The 20,080-nt window shown below is 33.9% G+C and overlaps 1 protein-coding gene across 35 annotated transcripts in view; it reads left to right on the forward strand.

Annotated features, from left to right (window-relative positions):
* The window catches only part of CCDC171 (coiled-coil domain containing 171), a 556,042-nt gene that overhangs the window by 309,969 nt on the left and 225,993 nt on the right, over positions 1–20,080 (forward strand). For 29 of the 35 annotated variants that reach the window (XR_007061261.1, XR_001746227.3, XR_001746228.3 and 26 more), the window contains one exon: positions 11,679–11,810. The exons of 4 other annotated variants lie outside the window; for them this stretch is intronic. Coding sequence is in view for 26 of the 31 variants with exons in the window: in XM_047422930.1 (XP_047278886.1) it covers positions 11,679–11,810 (132 nt within the window). In the remaining 5 variants the exon portion in view is untranslated. Of the gene's footprint in view, positions 1–11,678; positions 11,811–13,900; positions 17,001–20,080 lie in introns of those variants that run through there. 2 more of the 35 variants (XM_017014442.3, XM_047422939.1) reach the window with 1 other exon arrangement.

A 20,080-nucleotide genomic window follows, 5' to 3' on the forward strand; every position in this document is an offset into this window, starting at 1 on the left:
GCAAGACAAAAGATAGAAATATCACCCTCTGGTAATACTTGGAAAAGTTGGAATGTTGTATGTATGGCCCAATTCTTTTCCTCCCAAGGTAGAGGCTGAGAGCTGGGCATTTTTTTTCACTGGTCCTTTCTGTGCCAAGCCAGGGGAGAGCTGTTATGAATATCTGTGCTCTAGTCCAAACCACCACCCTTTTTCTCAAACCACCACCCTTTTTCTCTGTGGATCTAGTGTATGTTGGGTCATGTCAGTACTCAAACACAGGTGAGACAAAAGCCAATCCTTTAGGTAGAACTCTGAAGAGTGGGACATTGTACGCACAGTCCAATTCCTTCCCTTCTCATAAAAAGTTGGGAGCTGAGAGTTCCCTCCTGGTAATAACGATGCTGTGCTGGGAGTGGGGATTACGATTAGAGAGTGTCTTCAGTTTTCCCAGTGGTTTCAATGTGACTGATTTCTTGTTGCCCAGGTTGCAGGAGCCTCTCAGCTACTTTCTTGAATTTCCATAAAGGGAATTGATATGTGCCATTGCATCAGTGTGTCCATGGGGGAAGGAGAGTCCAGGGTTTCCTATTCCACCATCTGGCTGCTATCATTCTCCTTCGTTTTTAAGGACACTTTTGTCACAAACAGAATTCTTGGTTGACACATTTTTTTTTTCTAACTACCCCCACCCCACCACCAAATTTTGAATGTGTCAACTTCAAAATTTATATTTTGCTTCTTTTTTCTTTTCATTTACATTTTCTATTTTGGAAGACATTGTTCTCATGGTTTCTTTTAGTTCCTTGTACATGGTTTTCTATAACTTTATATGCACATTTAAAATAATTGATTTAAAGTACTTATGTGGTAAGGTCAATGTTTAGACTTCCTCAAGGACAGTTCCTGTTCATTTCTGTTTTTATTGGAAATGAGCTATACTTTCTTTTTTCGTGGCATACACAGTTTTTTGTTGAAAAGTAGATATTTTGAAAATTATAATCTGACAACTCTGGAAATAAGATTCTCCCCATCTCCAGGGTTGTTGCTGCTTGCTCTAGTTGTTGTTTTGTATTTAGTGACAGATTGTGTAAAGTCTGAACTGATTTTGTAAAGGCTGTCTTTCTGAACTCATTTTGTAAAGTTGTATCCTTTGTCACGTATAGCAACTGAAGTCTCTGTTGGCTTAGTAGTCAACCACTGTTTTGACAGAGTTCCTTAAATACTGAGATTCAGATTTTTTTCTTGGTTAAGCTTTTACCTGGTTACTGTAAACTTTCAGTTAGCTTCTCGAGTTCTGAAAAAAGCTAATTCTGACCTTTTTTTGCCAGTTTATTTGCTAGTTTTATGGAACGACTAGCTTTTGGAGTTCCTTAGTCCATCATTTTTGCCAACATCAATCTCTAAAAGCATATACTTTTGTTTTTTAATAGCTCTACCAGTAGGCTTTCAATTTTACTGATAATACAGGAATTATTATTTCTTTTTTTATTATACTTTAAGTTCTAGGGTACATGTGCACAATGTGCAGGTTTGTTACATATGTATACATGTGCCATGTTGGTGTGTTGCACCCATTAACTTGTCATTTACATTAGGTATATCTCCTAATGCTATCCCTCCCCCCGCTCCCCGCACCCCACGACAGGCCCCAGTGTGTGATGTTCCACTTCTTCTGTCCAAGTGTTCTCATTGTTCAGTTCCCACCTATGAGTGAGAACATGCGGTGTTTGGTTTTTTGTCCTTGCGATAGTTTAATTAGAGCTTCTCCAAATGTGCCTAAGTATTTCTATTGTGTGGGGTAAAGGGAAAGCACAACAATTATATTAAAATAATTTCAGGATAGGATAATGCCTAGATGAGTAGGATAATGTCTGGATTGTTTAGGATTAGATATGATAAAAATAAGTACTTATTAGATACTAACCAAGTGCCTAATAGAGAGATATCTCAGTTTACTGCAGCTAAGAGTAAAAGTAAGAAAACTTAGGTAAAATTGAAATGTGAAGAAGAAGCTAATAATTTTGTAGTCATGTTTGTTGTTGGATGAGTAGAATGGCTGCATTCTTGAGGCTTTTGAGAAAGCATGAGTCCTACAAGTTTGGAAAGATTAACTGAAATGTTCCCTATGTACGGCCATAACATACAGGCTTTAAAAGTACCAAAGAATGTTCACTGAGAAGTCTTAGATGCTTTTATCGTAAATCATCTAAAAGATAAAACAGGAAATGACAATCCAGAAATTGTAAAAACTCCATAAGACCTTGTGTCTATAAATCCTTTAAATTTATCGGACTGAAATGACACTGGAACAATATTTAGGAAGTCACAGGAGTTTTTGCTGACATCTTTTTGGATTTGCTTCTTCAGAAAAGTTATTTAAAACCTAGAACCCATCATGAAACACAACATTTATAATAATTAAATTCTACATATACATTTTTAGTATGTATAATGTTCCAGAAACTGTAGTAGCCTCTGGGGAAACAAATATACATACATACATACATATATATACACACACACATATATATATGTATATTTGTCATATTTGTGTGTGTGTGTATGTATGTATATAAAGTTGACCCTTGAACACATGGGTTCGAATTGTGTGGGTCCACTTATACGTGGATCTTCTTCCAACTCTGCCATCCATGAGACAGCAAGACCAACCCCTCCTCTTCCTTCTCCTCCTCAGCCTATTCAACATGAAGAATATGAGGATGAAGACTTTTATGATGATCCACTTCCACTTAATGAATAGTAAATATATTTTCTCTTCCTTACGATTTTCTTAATAACATTTTCTTTTTTCTAGCTTTATTATAAGAATATAGTATATAATACACATAACACAAAATATGTGTTAATCAACTGTTTATGTTATCAGTAAGGCTTCCAATAGTAGACTGTTTGTAGTTAAGTTTTGGGGGAGTCAGAAGTTACACATGGATTTTCAACTCTGTGGGGGTTGGCATCCCTAACCCACATGTTGTTCAAAGTTCAACTCTGCGTGCGTGTGTGTGTGTGTGTGTGTGTGTGTGTATCACAGTTCTATATAGATAGTTATTCTCATATGTGGCATACTTAGAAAACTCAGGGATTGCCTGGAGTTTCTTAGAAGAAAACTAATGCCTGGGTGGGGCCTCAAAATATGAGGAAGAAGGGAAAAGTATGCTAGCAAAGAAAGTGGCATGAGCAACAAGTTCATGGAAGCATGAATGACTAAATATTCTAAGTTCAATATTAAATGCAAAAAGAGTAAAAGAGATAAAGCTCAATGAGGCAGGTAGTAGCTAGGTCATGGAAGGCCTTTTTTGCCATGCTAAGAGCCTTGGATCATATAATGGAAGGAGTGGGGAGCAAACCAGGGTTTAAGCTAGGGGTTGATGTGGTTGGATTTTCTTATAAAATTTGAGCTCTAGAGAGCACATTTTGCAAACTGGATATAGTGAGTAATAAAAGTGGTTTTAAGAGCCACAAGTCTGAATAGACAACTCTATTAGGAAGCTGTAGCATTAGGCTAGATGGGGGCTCAGAAGGGTTGAACCAGAAGAGTGATGGTAGGTGGTGTCAGAAGGAAGGATGTGAAACTTATTCAGCAAAGTGGCATATGATGATGAGAAAGAGGCAGGGGAGGATGATTCCCCTGATGGGGCAAAGGACGCTGGGAATACAGAAAGCAGCCTTTTTGCTTTAATTATTTTTATTAAGTAGGGAGAAAGGAGACAATGATGAGTTTTGTTTTGGAAATACTGAATGTAAGGTAATGTGGAATGATCAGCAGGATGTGTGAGTCTGAACCTCAAGGGAAAGTCAGGGCTAAAGATAAAGGTTTGAGATTGACTAACATAATACTCTGGCAAAGAAAGAAGGCAGTATAGCAATTGACAGGAGAAACAAGACATTATAGATAAATGGGAAGCTAGAAAATGCATTTCAAGAGATTAATTATGCTACTAGAGTTTGAAGTCCTTGAGGGATGGAATTCTGTCTCCTTAATTTTTATATTCTTGGCATCTATCACTGTGCCTGGTACCCAGTAGGCACTTAATGAATGTTTGTGGAATGAGTCAAATTTTACCAGCATATAGTCTCTAAATATAACATAAGCCATCTCTAGATTCTAATGGAAGTTTTGCTGATATGGTCACCTGCTTTGTTTATTTGATTACTAAAAATAGCATCTGTATTTCACTTTGCCTAATCAAGACCTAGAGGAGAAAGCCTAAATTCAGTTGTCAGAATATCTCTTGGAAAGAGGTGTGCTAACAATGAATTTGCAGGTAATGTAATGACTAGTTTGATTCCTATGAGATAGAAAGATGATTACTTCTATTCTTAGAGTGGATTGTGGAATGGAATAGTGTCAAACAGGATATGATAGATGAAGACACTGTATAACCAAATCTTTAAATATAATTTTATAATTTTACATTAACAGTGATTAACCAGAGTAAATAATAATATATAGTTATTTTTGATTTTTAGTTTTCCGTGCATTTATAAGGAGTACAAAGAATAATTTTTAATTTATGAAACTGACAGTATTTTAAAAGTTGAAACATGATCCTCTGCCTCTAAAAAACCCAATTTTTAGTGGCTTGTCAATGACTCTCTAAATGTTACTTACGGTCTTTGAACTCTATTCTCAGTTTCTTGATCTTGGTTCCTGAAGATCAGCTGTGCAGGACACACAGGTGTTAACACAGCTGGCTTGCTGATGACAACTCTGTCCATATAGCTGTCTTGTGTGTCATTATTCATATTGTTCGGTGTCATTCTGACCTAGCCAAGCTAAAAATGATACTCCAGCTCAAGAGGGATTTTAAAACCTTGACAAACTAAAGATAAGACACTACAGAATATCATGTACATGTGCTTAGCAGTTTTTAGCTTAAACACATCTAAATAACTAATTTCAGCGTGTATCTGTCTTTATCCTTTAAAATAATTTATCTTCAGAATGAAAATATATCTGTGTGGATGAGTGTTATCAATTCTATTCTCAAGTATGGTTTTTTTGTTTGTTTAAATAGCTCAAGGTCAAAGCACTCTGTGAGGTGCATTCTATAGTATATAGCCTATGCTACAGATTTATCATGTTATATAGTGACTTTATAAGATGTCCATGATTAAATCACCCTATTTTCCAGCTTGATAATTTGATTTGAATAGTCAGTTTTTTAGATCTTTAATTGGGATGTAGCCAGATTGATAATTTGATTCAAGAGATCAGTTTTTTTATTTCTGTAATTGGGATGTAACTATAATGTGTGGTGTGGTTGTGGTGGTGGATTTTGCCCTCTTTTCTGGTGACAGCAGCTGGCAGTCATGGGAGAGTTCTGGCTTTGCTCCAGAGTTGTAGATTAAGTTAAATAACCTGCCAGCAAAAGAGGGCTAGTTGCTTACCTCCCACTTTTCAAATTATGAGTTTCTATGCTTGCTGCAGTGCCAATGGAATGCCTGCTTCTGCTGAGAGAGTGTCAAGGTCTCTTTCCAGTAGGTGTGGAACACAGCTGGAACTGTTGCTTATATCCTGGGACATTGTGGTTTGGGGATCCTCCATTATGACATTGTGATCATTGTATAAGGATGATTGCTACACAGGTAACTTGTTTCTTAGTGTAATAATTGTGTTCATGTGTGTACACGTGTGTGTGTGTGAGAGAGAGAGAGAGAGAGGATATGAATGAATGAGGATGCCCACAGGTGCAAGGAAACTATTGAGGAAAATAAAGATGTTTAATATTCATTGATTATCACAAAACCACTTTTATGAAACAAACATTGTTGCTAAGATTGCCAGACAATAGATATAAAGAAAAAAGATAGGGAAATGGAAGTACCAAAATCTTAAGTAATTTCTTCAACTGTTAATTGTTCATATATAGATATTAAAACGCATTATTGTTTGGCGCTAAGAGCACTAGACTTAGTATCCTCATATTAGAGATGGCAATAACTATTTCACAAGGTGGGTAACAGAATCAAGTGACGTAGTATGGAGAGTACGGTTGTCCCTTGGTTTCCTTGGGGATTGGTTCCCAAACCTTCTGTGGATACCAATATCCATGATATTGAAGTTCCTGATATAAAATGGTGTAGTATTTGCATATAATCTATGCACATCCTTCTGTACACTTTAAATTGCTTCTAGATTTATTTATAGTACCTAATACAATGTAAGTGCTATCTAAATTATACTGTATTGTTTGGGGAATAATGAAAAGGAGAAAAAGTTTGTACATGTTCAGGACAGATGCAGCTTAAAATATATACTTTCAGTTCATGGTTGAATCCATGGATATGGAACCCACAAATATGGGGGGCCAACTGAACTTTGAAAAGTATGAAGTACTTTTGGAGGTACTAATTGTATTATTACTAATAGAAGTAGTATTATTATCTGTCTGTCCATTTGATTAATTAGATAGTTAAAGAAAAGGTTAAAGAAGGAGGAAAGTATCCATTTAGATGTAACCATCCTATCCCTGAATATCATTTTCATTGCATTGACACACTTTGATGCTTCCTCCTATCACTGGGTACATATCAGAGTCTTGGAACTGTCTAATTTTTTTTAAATTATTTTTTCTTTCTTCTACATTGTAGAATTCATGCGTTTATAACGGTGTTCTTATCTGATCATACTTACTAAGAGCCTCTGAAAGCGTAGTGTTTTTTTTTTGTTTGTTTTTGTTTTTTTTGCTACTGTGTATTACAGAGTATATGGTTAACTCTGGCTAGTTCCCTTCTCTTTGTATTTACAAAAGACTCTCCAGTATGCCTTTTCTACTTGTTTAACCAGAATTTCTGTTAATTAGGTACTAGAATAAGTGGTCAGTAGTTGTGACCAGGAAAGTTAGCCGTGGTCAGGAAAGTTAGGACCAGTCAAGATGTGTACTAGACTATATAAAACTTGAAAATGTATCAGGAGACGGTATACAGATTTCTGGAAAAATTGAAGAAAGGAAACAAAGTGTCTTTGAGATGGCACCCTGTATTGGCGATATAAACTTGACTCACTAGAAATTGTTTGTAGATTCTCTGGTGAGAGATAGTCATTTAAAAAAAAACTTTATAGGTGATAAAAGAATATTATCTTTCTTCTATATCTCCAGAGCAGGGGATGACCAAGTTTTTCTGTAAAGGCCAGATAGTAAATATCTTAGGCTTGGTGAACCATATGGTCTTTGTCTCAACTACTCAACTCTGTCATTGTAACAGGAAAGCAGCCATGGACAATAGGTAAATGAATGGGTATAACTCTAATAAAACTTTATTTATAATAGACAGTGGGCTGGATTTGGTTCTCAGGCTGTAGTGTGCTGACTGTACACTGCTCTTTGGTGCATAGGTTGAAAAATAGTATGTAGGCTGTTCTAGTGCATAGAATGAAAAATAAAAGGAAGAAAGGGAAGCAGTAAGGAATCAGTGGGAATGGAAGGAAGTACAAGGGAGGGAGTAGGACAAAGGAGGGCAAGAAAATGGAGGCAAAGTACAACATGAATGCAGGATAATGAGAATGGAGATTATAAGAAATATTATAGAGGTCTGTTTTCATATGGATCTATATCTGGTAAAAAGGTTTATTTTGAAGCATCGGAGGCCATAATAGATTGGAGTAAATACAATTGAAGCAGATTAAAAGTATGACATGAAGCCCTAATATCAGTTGCCTTTCCCAGGCATTCAGGATTCAGACACTGTATACATCTTCTTACATGTGTTTTTAAGTCAACCTCAGTTTTTATATATACCTTGAGGTCTTCTGGCTTGGTATCCAATTGGTAAAAATACAGCTAGTAAATCATTTCATGAGTGTGTGTTTTTTTTTTAATTGGAACATAGAGTCCAGAGGGATTTATAGCTGTGCATGATAAAAGATGGAGGGAGTTGAGCAATTTTTCTAGAAATGACTAATTTAATTTCATAGTTGATATCTAGCAGAAATAGCTTTTTTTTTTGTTTTGGTAGGAGCATAAAAATTAGAAAACATTGTTTACTTGTGAGTAAAGGCTAATCAGAGAAATAGGAATAGTACAGTATGGATCTTGTGGATCACTTAAAATCTAGAACTGGATTATTATAGTAAAATATATTTTAAAATATATTTATCTTGAAATAAATATATTTCATGGAACTGTTTTGACTTTTTAGAAAGTTTTATTTATTTTCTTCTCCTGTTTTTTATGATATGTCTATTAGAGATATCTCCTTTCTGAAAGCATGTAATAAGAAAGGGAGAAAGTAAACTGTTCTTTCTAAAAATCAAAATTTTAGAGTAGAAGTAATATAGGTTTTAAAAATTATTCTAAAATATGATATTGCATGATTTTAAAGAACGTTATAGAATGTATAACATTTGATAACAGATTTATATTGGGAAATTCTATATGTTAAAAATGAGCTGTTAGGCGTTTTGAAGAAGAAAAACATTGTATACATGTATTAGTCATATTGATAAATGAGAATAAAAAGGCATAGAATCTTGATTATAGGATGAATAATAATGTATTATAAACATAATTAAAGATTGGCTTTTGAAATTATAATTTAATCTACAGACAGGTGACTGCTGGTGAATTTTATTCCTAATTCACACTAAACTCAGTACTTTAAAAGATAAACTTTTCCTTTTAGGAAAAAAATAATTTGACTATTCTAATATTACTTCAAAACTTTTTTTGACAGTAACTAATTTGCTTTAGATCCTCATTCTTGAAAATAATTTTGTATCCAATAAGCTGTACTTCCTAAAGAAATTCCAAATTATCTCTCTTTTAATATGTTAGTTACTTTGTTCTCAGCCTGCCTGTTCTATTTCTTTTCATGAACGAACTTAATGCAACAAGGTAAGAGTCCTTTCTTACTGTTCTGTGTTGAATCTCCCTGTTGACACCTTGAAATTCAGACTTGCCTTCTGCATTCTTTCTGAAGTCTCTTCCTTCTACCCTTTATTTCTTCCGTTTCTTGTCATCTTTCTTTTCTTCTCCTTTGCTGCATGATTTTATTTTTGCTTGTCTTAGTGTCACTGTTTTGGATTCTTTCAACATGATGCTTTCACTCCCTTTACTCATTAAAATAAAATTATGGATAATTCTTTTACAAGACTTTTCTAAAAACTTTTCCTAGAAATATTTGAGAACATTTTAGATACTTACTCTCAAAGTTCTCGTTTAATTTAAAAGTGGAAAAAACTCTTAAAATTTTAGTAGAAGTATTTGTGATATTGCATCTATTATATATCATGGGTCTCTCACTCTTGATGGCACTGTCAAGTTGATTCAACAGATAATTTGTAATTAAATGGAAGTATTAAAGCATGCATATTATTCAAATGATTATGATGTTCATCATTAGGTGTAGCAAAAATAGCTGCATTTTGCAAGTTTTTTTTATTCAATATAAAGAATTATTTAATTTGGCAAATTAAGTAATGTTATACCAAAAATATTGAAATGACAATAAATCAGTTTCAAAAGCAAGATGCCACAGCTTAACAATGTTCATAAAGTTTATTTAGAGAATATAAAATGTGGCTTACTGTTCACTGTATGTCAAGCTTCGTGGATGAAGTATGGTGCCTGATGCTAATCAGGTTAAAGGACCTCCAGTGCTCGAACTGTGTTGTGGATTATACTTACATTGCTTATGGTTTTTTTCCCCTCTCTTTGCCCGTATTAGCAATCTGCTTTTGTACTTTGACATCCAGGATTTCCCTAGTGAATTTTGTCACAGAAAAAAGAGAATCATCAATATCGCAGTTAAACTTGACTTTCAAAGCTAATAGTATCTCATTTGGGGGCTCAAATTTAATAAATTTTCTTTGATTCTGGGTGAGTTTTTAAACATCAAACAATGAATTGGCCAGGGTGCAGTAAAATATTTAGATCTATTGACTGTGGTTCAGAAGGGTAGAAGGCAAAACACTAGTGGTTTGATGTTGATAAATTCTCAGAACCTTAATCCACATTAATGTTTTCTTTTATCTGAGTGCACATTGGTGACAAAAAAAAGCAAGAGAAGGTATTCATACATGTAAAATATAAAACCTAAAACAAATGTAGTTGTAAAATACGATTTGTTTTGTTATGCTAAGTAAGTTTAACAGCATTCTTATCCTGAGTGAAGACTCTGGAGAGTGTTTGTTGCAGATAAATATACATTGTGAATTGAGACTCCAGCATGCATGTGGTACTCACATCATTATAAAAATTACATCATAGTGTATGTTTTACAGCATACACTTTGACATTCTCTTATTGACAGAAAGTCTTCAGATCAGCTTGGGACATATAAGGATTTTTATGCCCATAGATTAGCGTGAACAGTTAAAGATGCCGTTATATGTTTGTGTGTGTTTGCTGGCTTAAAGAAACTCAATAGAGTTTGTTTTGTGAAATGTGTGTATATCCTAAGGAACTAATTAATACAATAAAAATAATTCAAACAGTTTTACAAGCTTCCCAAGTAGGCTAGAAAAATGGAGGAGAAATTTTCTATCTTGTATTTTTGCCAAGTTATATTTGAAGTTGCTTGGATAAAACTAGAGATAGAAATATATTTATTTGAGCAGTTAATGCAATTTTTATAGTTAACCTTGTTTTTGACCTTCGCTACCTGATAAAAAACTTTTTGTTCTGTGGCATTGAGCTAATTGTATAATATTTATTAAGTATATGGTAACAAATAGATAAAATTTTAAAACCTATTCCAAGCATAAGGAAAGTTAGAAAATATGCCTATGTATTGAAAACTCCTATTATTAAACTATATGATTAAAATGAGAGCTTTTTGTTCTTAAATGCAAACGAAACTATGGAATTCTTAAGGCTTTTACTAAGTTTGGAAATTAAAAACCAAAATATCTGTTTTTGAATGTTTCCATTTATATTATATAAGGAATATTTTCTCATTTGTCCAGAAGGTGGCAGTGTGATATCAACTGCATGTGATTCCATACTGACTAGAGAATTGGTGTTTTTCCCATATCGGTGATGTGTTTGTATTGTTGCTTTCTGAATACTTAAAATAGAGTACAAATACTACTGATTTTATCTGTTGTATTGTTTAGAAATTGTGTGACTGTGTTGGTTTATATGTATTTAATCATTAAGACTCAAGTTTAATAAAATCCTGCAATTCTAGAAGAGTGAAAAGGGCAAACAAACCTCTTTCTTGTATATTTTTAAGTCTCCTTTTGTGTTGAGTATATTTGTTTTGATTCTAGAGTACATGTTATTGAAGTTTTCTTTTCAAAGACTAGTACCTAATAACTATCTTGTCCAATATGTATCAGTTCATATCAGTTAAACACCACATGTTACTAAGCAGGTGATAATGATTAGGAGATGGCTGTTGTTTTTGATTTTGTGAATGTTTTTTCTTTTCTTCCTTTTTAGGGTGGAACTGTGAAAAAATAATTCAAAACCTCTTGATCAGAAGAGCTCTAGTGACTCTTCTTCCCCTCCCTCATTTCAAGCAGGAGGATGCTTTTTCTTCTTAACATTCTCCCCCAGCACTCTGAATTAGAGATTTATTTGCAACGAAAAATCAATTAGTCCTAAATTTATTCATGGATTTCAGGTCCAGCGATCAATGCAAGTCCACTCAGTGGGCTCAAGGGGACCCAGTTCATCCCAGTTAATGTGTCTGAAGGGGAATTACCATTGATGCTGTTTTTTTCCCTTTAGGTCAGAGATCAGATCTCGCTGTCATGGTCTGCGGCAAGTAGGAATGACTTCACCCTACAGCTACCCAAACTGCACCTGGAGACCTTTGCAATGGAGGGGCTCAAGGGCGGGCCAGAGGTGGTAGCATGCCAGGTTAGAGTCTAAATAACATTGTTTGCTACTGAGACATATAGAAAAATAAATTGCACTAACTGGAGAGAATGAAAGCCTCAAAGTATTGTGAATAATTTAAAGGAGATGCAAATAGATGTTTCTTCATTTTTCTTCTATCATGTAACAGTATACTTTACAAAATATTGTTTTTTTCTTTAAAGCCTAGAACTAGCCTATTAAAATAATCCAGAAAAGTGTTTTTACCAAGGAAAAATGTGTTTTATGGCAAAGTACAGTATTAAAAGAAAATACTTTCCTATCAGCAGAGGACAATAAGACACTAGGCTGTTACCTCTTTAAGCAAGTCTCAATTTGTTGCTTTTATTGTTTGAAAATAAGTAATTTTAGAAAAAAAATAAAATAATAAATCACTTTAGTTGTAAACATCAAAAGAGATACCTGAAATATCTCAATATTAATTCCAAAATATATCCAACATTTCTTATGAAGTAATTTAATTTCAGCAAAGCTTAAACTTATCTGTGTTTTCTATTGAAGAGTATTTTACCCTTTAATATTTAGTTTTAGTGAACATTGTAAGATGTGCAAATTGGGTCATTTCATTTATAAAACTTAAAATATCAAATCATAAGAACTCAAATAACTTTAAAGTACACTAATAAACTTATTTTTAGAAACATTCATTTTCGGATGCTGTAGGTATCCTTCTATTTTATGTCACTATTGTATTAATATTATTGTGATCAATTTTTTCCTTAAGGTTATTTTTCTTAATCTGACAAAATGAAATTCAGTGTGTCCTTTTAATGCCCAAAACCTTCATTAAAAAAAGAAAACTATCAACATTATGTAAATTATAGGAAGCATGATATTTCAAAAGAGACTGTCCTTGTTCAATAGCACTCTATTTTTTAGTGTATTTAAAAGGAGAAATATCTCTTAAAACTTAGTGTGTCTTTCACATGTTGAGATTTAAAATAATCTTTTTCATTTTAGTTTATGACCCTGTGGAATTTTAATTTTATAGAAAATTAATGTCAGTGTGTGTGTGGAGCAATGTTAATTTTTTATATGCTCCATATCCTAATTTAATTTGTTATTAGTACCAAATTAATGCTCTACAAGGAAAAAAATACTCATTGCTTCTTTCATTAGATTGTCCAATATGTCTAAAATATATATAATTATAAAAGTAAGCATAAAATATTTTTCTTCTCTGTTATAGGGTAGATTGCTGTACTGTTATTTAAGATGAGATTTAAAATGTGTATTTTAAATTTGATTGTCAGTATTTATGAATTCATCATTACTATGAATACAGTCTGATTTGAGATTTTTCTAGTGGTTGTAAAATAATCCTTTACTTGGCTATTTCAATTCAGAATCTCACAAGGCTTAGTATTTGTCGTAATTTACAAGTAAAGACTTCCTCAAAACTAGATGTTGGTGATTTCGAAAGAGGTTGATTCCCCAAAATGCCCTTTTTGGGGGTTATGATATCTGGGAACAGCAAGAAGGAAATGTAGAGACCCACAGTTTAAACTACTGTCTTTTCCAGGTTCTAATAAAAATATTAGACTCCCACCTGGATAAGTTCCATTGATATGCTGTAATATATATTGTAGTTTAGTAGTATACATCATAGTTGGAAAATTAGGAGACATTAGTGATAATAATAGTACCTACAGTTTCAGCGAACACTTAACTATGTACCAGGTACCATGCTTAGCTCTTTGAATATATCATCTTATTTAATTCTCACAATGAGCCTGTCAAATAAATGGCACTATCTCCATTTTACACTTCACCACCACCACCACAACAAACACAACGGGTAACTCCTCAGATCAACAGCAAGGAAAAGGCAGAGCCTGGATTTAAGTCTAATAGTATTTGACTGCTAAGCTGAATTAATAAATCTGATACTAAAAAATGTAGACACATATGTTACATGGTAAGAGTAAAACCTTAGATATCTATAATGGAATTTTTCTTCCATTTGTAAAAAATTATGCATCTATGTATGATATAGATCATAGTTTATGCTGTATTGTAGACTAATTATGGGCTAATAGTATGAAACTCTAATTTCACCTTTTTTTTTGCAGTATAAAAATATGTGCATTTATACTAAGTGTGGCTACTGACTTGGGAATTCAGTAGTTGTTTAACTTTGTACTCTGACTCTGTACTGATGAAGTGGACTATTCAGAGTTCTCAACCTTTGATTATGAAGAGAGGATCACTCAGCAGGGTGTGGTGGTATATGAACCATTTGCCCAACTTACTCAGCTGTCATTTACAGAAGTAGGAGCTGAAGTTTTCTGTCTTTTTCAATGGGGGCAAACTTTATTATAGGTATAATCCTGAATGGAAAGAGACCAGTGAGCATTATTACTGAGTGAAGAGGATGAGTGGAGTACCTTTGTTCTCTGAACCTGGAAGAGCATGTGACTGATGCTTTTCTATGGAGAAAACCTCAGTTCAACTTGTTTCTGAGATCTGCTAGCTTTCCCCTCCAACTTTCTTAGCTGAAACAAACAAACAAACAAACAAACAAAAAGTAATGCTACTGATCCCCGAGACTTGCAGTGGGATTGAATACAGCAATGGATGTAAAGTGTAGTACAGTGCCTAGCCTAGAGAAAGCAGACAATGCAGGGTGGCTGTTGTTATTGCAGCCGTTATAAGGCCCTTGTAAAGATGAAGTAAGCAACAGTAGCTTGTTTTCATTACGTTTAAGGTGTATGTATGTTTTATTTTGAGGAATCGTTATTTAAGATCTTTTTTTTTCTGTATCTTTCCATTTAGTTTCTTCACCCTTCCCTGTTTCTTCAAAAACTTTAAATAATTTTGATCAAGCACAGCCTACCATAGCTTCTTATTTACTTTTCCATGGCATAGGATGTTCCAATGAGGCCATGTCTCCAGTGAAACCTTTCGTTTAAGTTCCTGCAGCAAATTTAAACCTATACTAGTGTTTTATCTTCCAAATAACAGCAAATAGGCTTTCATTATAATAGTGAGAAGAATAAAAACACCCCTATTAGACCAATTAGCTTTAAATGAAAAGTCCAGTGTAGTGTGAATGCAGAGAACTTTGCAATAAAAAAGATTCTACTTATACTTTATAAAGATAATACCTATTATTCATTATCTTATACTCTGAATTACAATTTTTCAATAATTATGATATGTACTATTGGTAATAACTGGCAAATATTAGTAGGCATCCAGTAAATATTTGTGTTTTCATTTCGATTCAGTAGTAAACAATAAATAATAATTAAACAGTAACAATAGCTAATATTTGTTGAGTGCACAAAAATCAATCCAAGATGGATAAAAGACTTAAATGTAAATCCTTAAACTATAAAAACCCTGGAAGCCAACCTAGGTAATACCATTCTGGACATAGGAACCAGCAAAGATTTCATGATGAAGGTGCCAAAAGCAATTGCAACAAAGACAACAAATGACAAATGGGATCAAATTAAATTTAAGAGCTTCTGTACAGCAAAAGAAACTATCAACAGAGTAAACAGACAACCTACAGAATGGGGAAAAATATTGCAAACTGTGCATCTGATGAAGGTTTAATGTCCAGCACCTATAAGGAACTTAAATTTACGAGAAAAAACCAACCCCATTAAAAAGTGGGCACAGGATATGAACACATACTTTTCAAAAGAAGACATACACACAAGTTAACAGGAGTATGAAAAAAAAAACTCAACAACATTGCTGATCATTAGAGAAATGCCAATCAAAACCACAATGAGATACCATCTCACACCAGTCAAAATGGCTATTATTAAAAAGTCAAAAAATAACAGATGCTGATGAGGTTGTGGAGAAAAGGGAATGCTTATACACTGTTGGTGGGAGTGTAAATTAGTTCAGCCCTAGTGGAAAGCAGTGTGGCAATTCCTCAAAAAGCTGAAAACAGAACTACCATTTGACCTAGCACTCCCATTACTGAGTATGTACCCAAAGGAAAACAAATTGTTCTACCATAAAGACACATGCAGGCATATGTTCACTGTAGCACTAGTCACAATAGCAAAACATGGACTCAACCTAAATGTCCATCCATGGTAGAATGGATAAAGAAAATGTGGTACATATACACCATGGAATACTATACAACCATAAAAAGAACGAGATCATGTTTTTTGTGGGAACATGGATAAAGCTGGAGGCGATCATCCTCAGCAATCTAACACGGGAACAGAAAACCAAACACCACATGTTCTTGTAAGTGGGAGCTAAATGATGAGAACACATGGACACAAAGAGGGGAACAATTGGGGCCTTGAGTCTGGAGGGTGTGGGAGAAGGGAGAGGATCAGAAAAAATAACTATTGAGAACTAGGCTTAGTACCTGGGTGACAAAGTAATCTGTACAACAAACCATTGTGACATGAGTTTACCTATATAACAAGCCTGCATATTTACCTCTAAACCTAAAATAAAAGTTAAAAAAAATCATTTGAAATTCTGCCATTCAGACACAACCAATGTTAACATTTTGGTATATATTCTTCAAGTTATTTTTTAGCCATAAATACAAACTCACATGCACATATTATTTATATTTAATACACCTATATATATTTAAACAACAATTGGGCCATACAGTTTTTTTCACTTTTTTTCCTTTTTATTGGTATGTAATAGTTGTACATGTTTTGGAGGCACATGTGATATTTTGATACCTATATACAATGTGCAATGATCAATCAGGGTAATTTGGTTATCTGTCCCCTCGAATGCTTTTCTTTATGTTGGGCATATTACAATTCTTCTCTTTTAGCTATTTTGAAATATACAATAAATTATTGTTAATTATAATTTCCCTATTATACTATTGAATATTAGAACTTATACCTTCTAGCTAACTATTTTTGTACTCTTTAACCAACTTCTCTTGGGCCATACTATTTGTGTGCATTGTTTTTTAAACCTAATAACATATCTTTCTTGTCAGTAATTACAGATTTATGTAATTATTTTTGATGCCTGAGTTGTGCTCTGCTACATGGCTCTACCACAGTATATTTTGTCAGTTTTCTGTTGATGGATATTTGAAGTTATTTTGAGTTTTTGGTTATTATGAATAAGGTGGTAATTACTATCCTCTTGCATACATTTTTTCATTATTCTCTTTTTTCCCCTGGAATAAATTAGTAGAATGATTGCATCAAATATTATGTGTACTCTAAGGCTTTTAATACACATTCTCCAATTGCCCCTGAAAAAGATAAGATGGTTCCACTTTACCCCCTGCAAGACTTCTATTAGCCCTTTAATTTTCTTTTTAAAGTGTGGTTCTTTAATTTCTGATAATAGAAGAAAGTTTTTTCCTCTTTTTATAATTTTGGTCTTCCCTGAATTTGCAGACATCCATTCTTACTAGGTCCTTATTTTACACAGAGTTGCTAAGTTTTAGTCTAAGAGATTCTCCTTGGTGAAGTAAAGAGGATACATTTTGTGGCAGCTGCTTGTCTCACAGATTTTCTTTTTCATTGCTTTCTAAGTCCATGACTGTGCTTTGAATGTTTGAGATTATTGGAATTGGTAAGTGACATCATTTTAATAGTAAGTTATCAAAAAGATTTTGGATTATCCAAAGTTGTTGTCTATAGGAGTTTGTGCAATTCTCTTTATTCTTTTACATTTTTTACTTGCCAATTGATAAATTGTAGTTGTGTATATTTACATGGTACAGAGTGATCTTATGGCTTATGAATACAATGTGCAATAATTAAATCATGCTAATGAACATATCTGTCACTTCCAATTCTCTCTCTCTCTCTTTTTTTTTTTTTGAGACGGAGTCTCTCTGTTGCCCAGGCTGGAGTGCAGTGACGTGATCTCGGCTCATTCCAACCTCCCGCAACCGGGTTCAAGCGAATTTCCTGCCTCAGACTCCTGAGTAGCTGGGACTGCAGGCATGTGCCACCATGCCCGCCTAATTGTTTTTTTTTTTTTTTTTTTTTGTAATTTTAGCAGAGACGAGGTTTCACCGTGTTGGCCAGGCTGGTCTCGAACTCCTGACCTCAAGTGATTCACCCGCCTCAGCCTCCCAAAGTGCTGGGATTACAGACATGAGCCACCACACCCAGCCCAAAATAAAAATATCTTTTACATTGAAAAATATTAAATAATTTTTTAATTGGGTTGTGGAATCGAAAATAATGTTGGAATGTCACCTTCTTCAAAGGTTTGTAAATACTACCCAGAGAAGAGCTATTTGTTAGGGAAATACAATTAGCTGGCAAAGTCATATAGTTCATCTGAGAATAAACGAATTTGATGGAAAAATACCATCCTTTGTCTCATCTAGCTACTTGACAGGTATAGACTCTAGTTCTTCAGAATGTAAATTGTGCCAATGAGCAATCTAAATGTCCTAGATATGGGGCCTAACTTGAATGTGAATATAAGAAGTAGTGAATTTGGTGCTTTTTTCGGTTGTTGTTGACAGTAGGAAGAGTTTGCTACTTGGTACTTGAAATTTTAGAATTCTACTCTGAAGATTTCATATTGCACAAGTAGAACTAAAATTTCTTCAAAATTTCCTGAGTAGAGCCCTAAGCAATGCTAAACAAAACAAAGTATTACAAGAAATGAAATACTAAGGTGCGTAGAAGAACTTATTATTTTTCTCTTTTTGTTTCTTTTTCTCATTAAGAAATTTGATGCATAATAGATGTACATGGTTTTAGGGTACATGTGATAATTTAATACATTCATATAATTTGTAAAGTTCAAATCAGTGTGCTTGGGATATAGATCCATCACCTTAAATATTTGTCTTTTCTTTATATTAGAACCATTCAAATTCTTCTAGCTATTTAAAAATACAAAATAGATTATTGTAAACTGTAGTTACCCTACTGATCTAACACTAGGTCTTATTATTTCTATCACACCATATATTTGTACCCATTAATCAACTTCTCTTCATCCCCTTCTCAACCACTACCCTTCCTGGCCTCTGGTAACCACCAATCTATATATCTTCATGAGAGTCACCTTTTTAGCTCCCACATATGAGTCAGAACATGCAATATTTGTCTTTCTGTGCTTGGCTTATTTCATTTAATGACCTGCAGTTCTATCTGTGTTGCTGCAAATGATAAGATTTCATTCCTAATTCATTGTGTATATCTATATCGCATTTTCTTTATTCATTTATTAACGGCCACTTAGGCTGGTTCCACATTTTGGCTGTTGTGAATAATGCTGCAGTAAAAATAGGAGTACAGATGCCTTGTGATGTATTTCTTTCTTTTGTACACATACCCAGTAGTGGAGTTACTGGATCATGTGGTAGTTCTATTTTTAGTTTTTTGAGGAAACTCCATACTGTTCTCCATAGTGCCTTACTAATATACATTCTCCCTAATAGTGTGCGAGGATTCTCCTTTCTCCATATTTTTACTGGCATCCATTATTGCCTGTCTTTTTAATATAAATTTTAACCGGGGTGAGATGATAGCTCATTGTGGTTTTGATTTGCATTTCTGTGATAGTTAATGATGTTGAGTATTCTTTTCATATACTGTTGACCATTTGTATGTTTTCTTTTGAGAAATATCTATTCAGATCTTTTTGCCACTTTTAAATTAAATTATTTGTTATTTTGCTATTGAGTTGTTTGAGCTCCTTGCATATTCTGGTTGTTAATCCCTTGTCAGATGGACGATTTGCGAGTGTATTCTCCCATGCTGTGGGTTGTCTCTTCACTTTGTTGATTGCTTCCTTTGCTGTGCAGAAGCTTTTTAACTTGATGTAATCCCATTTTTCTATTTTTGGCTTGGTTGTCTGTGTTTTTAAAGTCTTAAAAAGAAAATCTTTGCCCAGATCAGTGTCCTGGAGTGTTTCCCCAGTGTTTGGAAAAACTTATTTTAAGGGCTTGTTGCAAAGTGAGATAACAATAGTGATCTTAGTTTTAATTCAATATCAGTATAAATAGCATTTAAACGTCGGTTATAGTCATTGTGAGTTATGCCTTGTCATCCTCAATCTGTATCTTCTCCTAAGATTTTAGTGTTTCATGACTGGGAAAACTGCTTGATAATTAGCTTTGCGTATCAGCTATTACTAGAGCAGTTTTCGTATTATCCCATAAGTCTTTTCACCATCCTTTTCTCCCATTATTCCTCCTTCTCTTTCTGTGCCTGTTGTCTGATTTCTAGGTTTTTTATTTGTTTGTTTGATGGTGGTGGAGGGGGGATGCATCAGATTTTTAGGACAGAATCTTGAGGGTAAAAATATAA

Source organism: Homo sapiens, chromosome 9 (assembly GCF_000001405.40).
Source record: "Homo sapiens chromosome 9, GRCh38.p14 Primary Assembly".
In the NCBI taxonomy this organism is placed as follows: domain Eukaryota; kingdom Metazoa; phylum Chordata; class Mammalia; order Primates; family Hominidae; genus Homo; species Homo sapiens.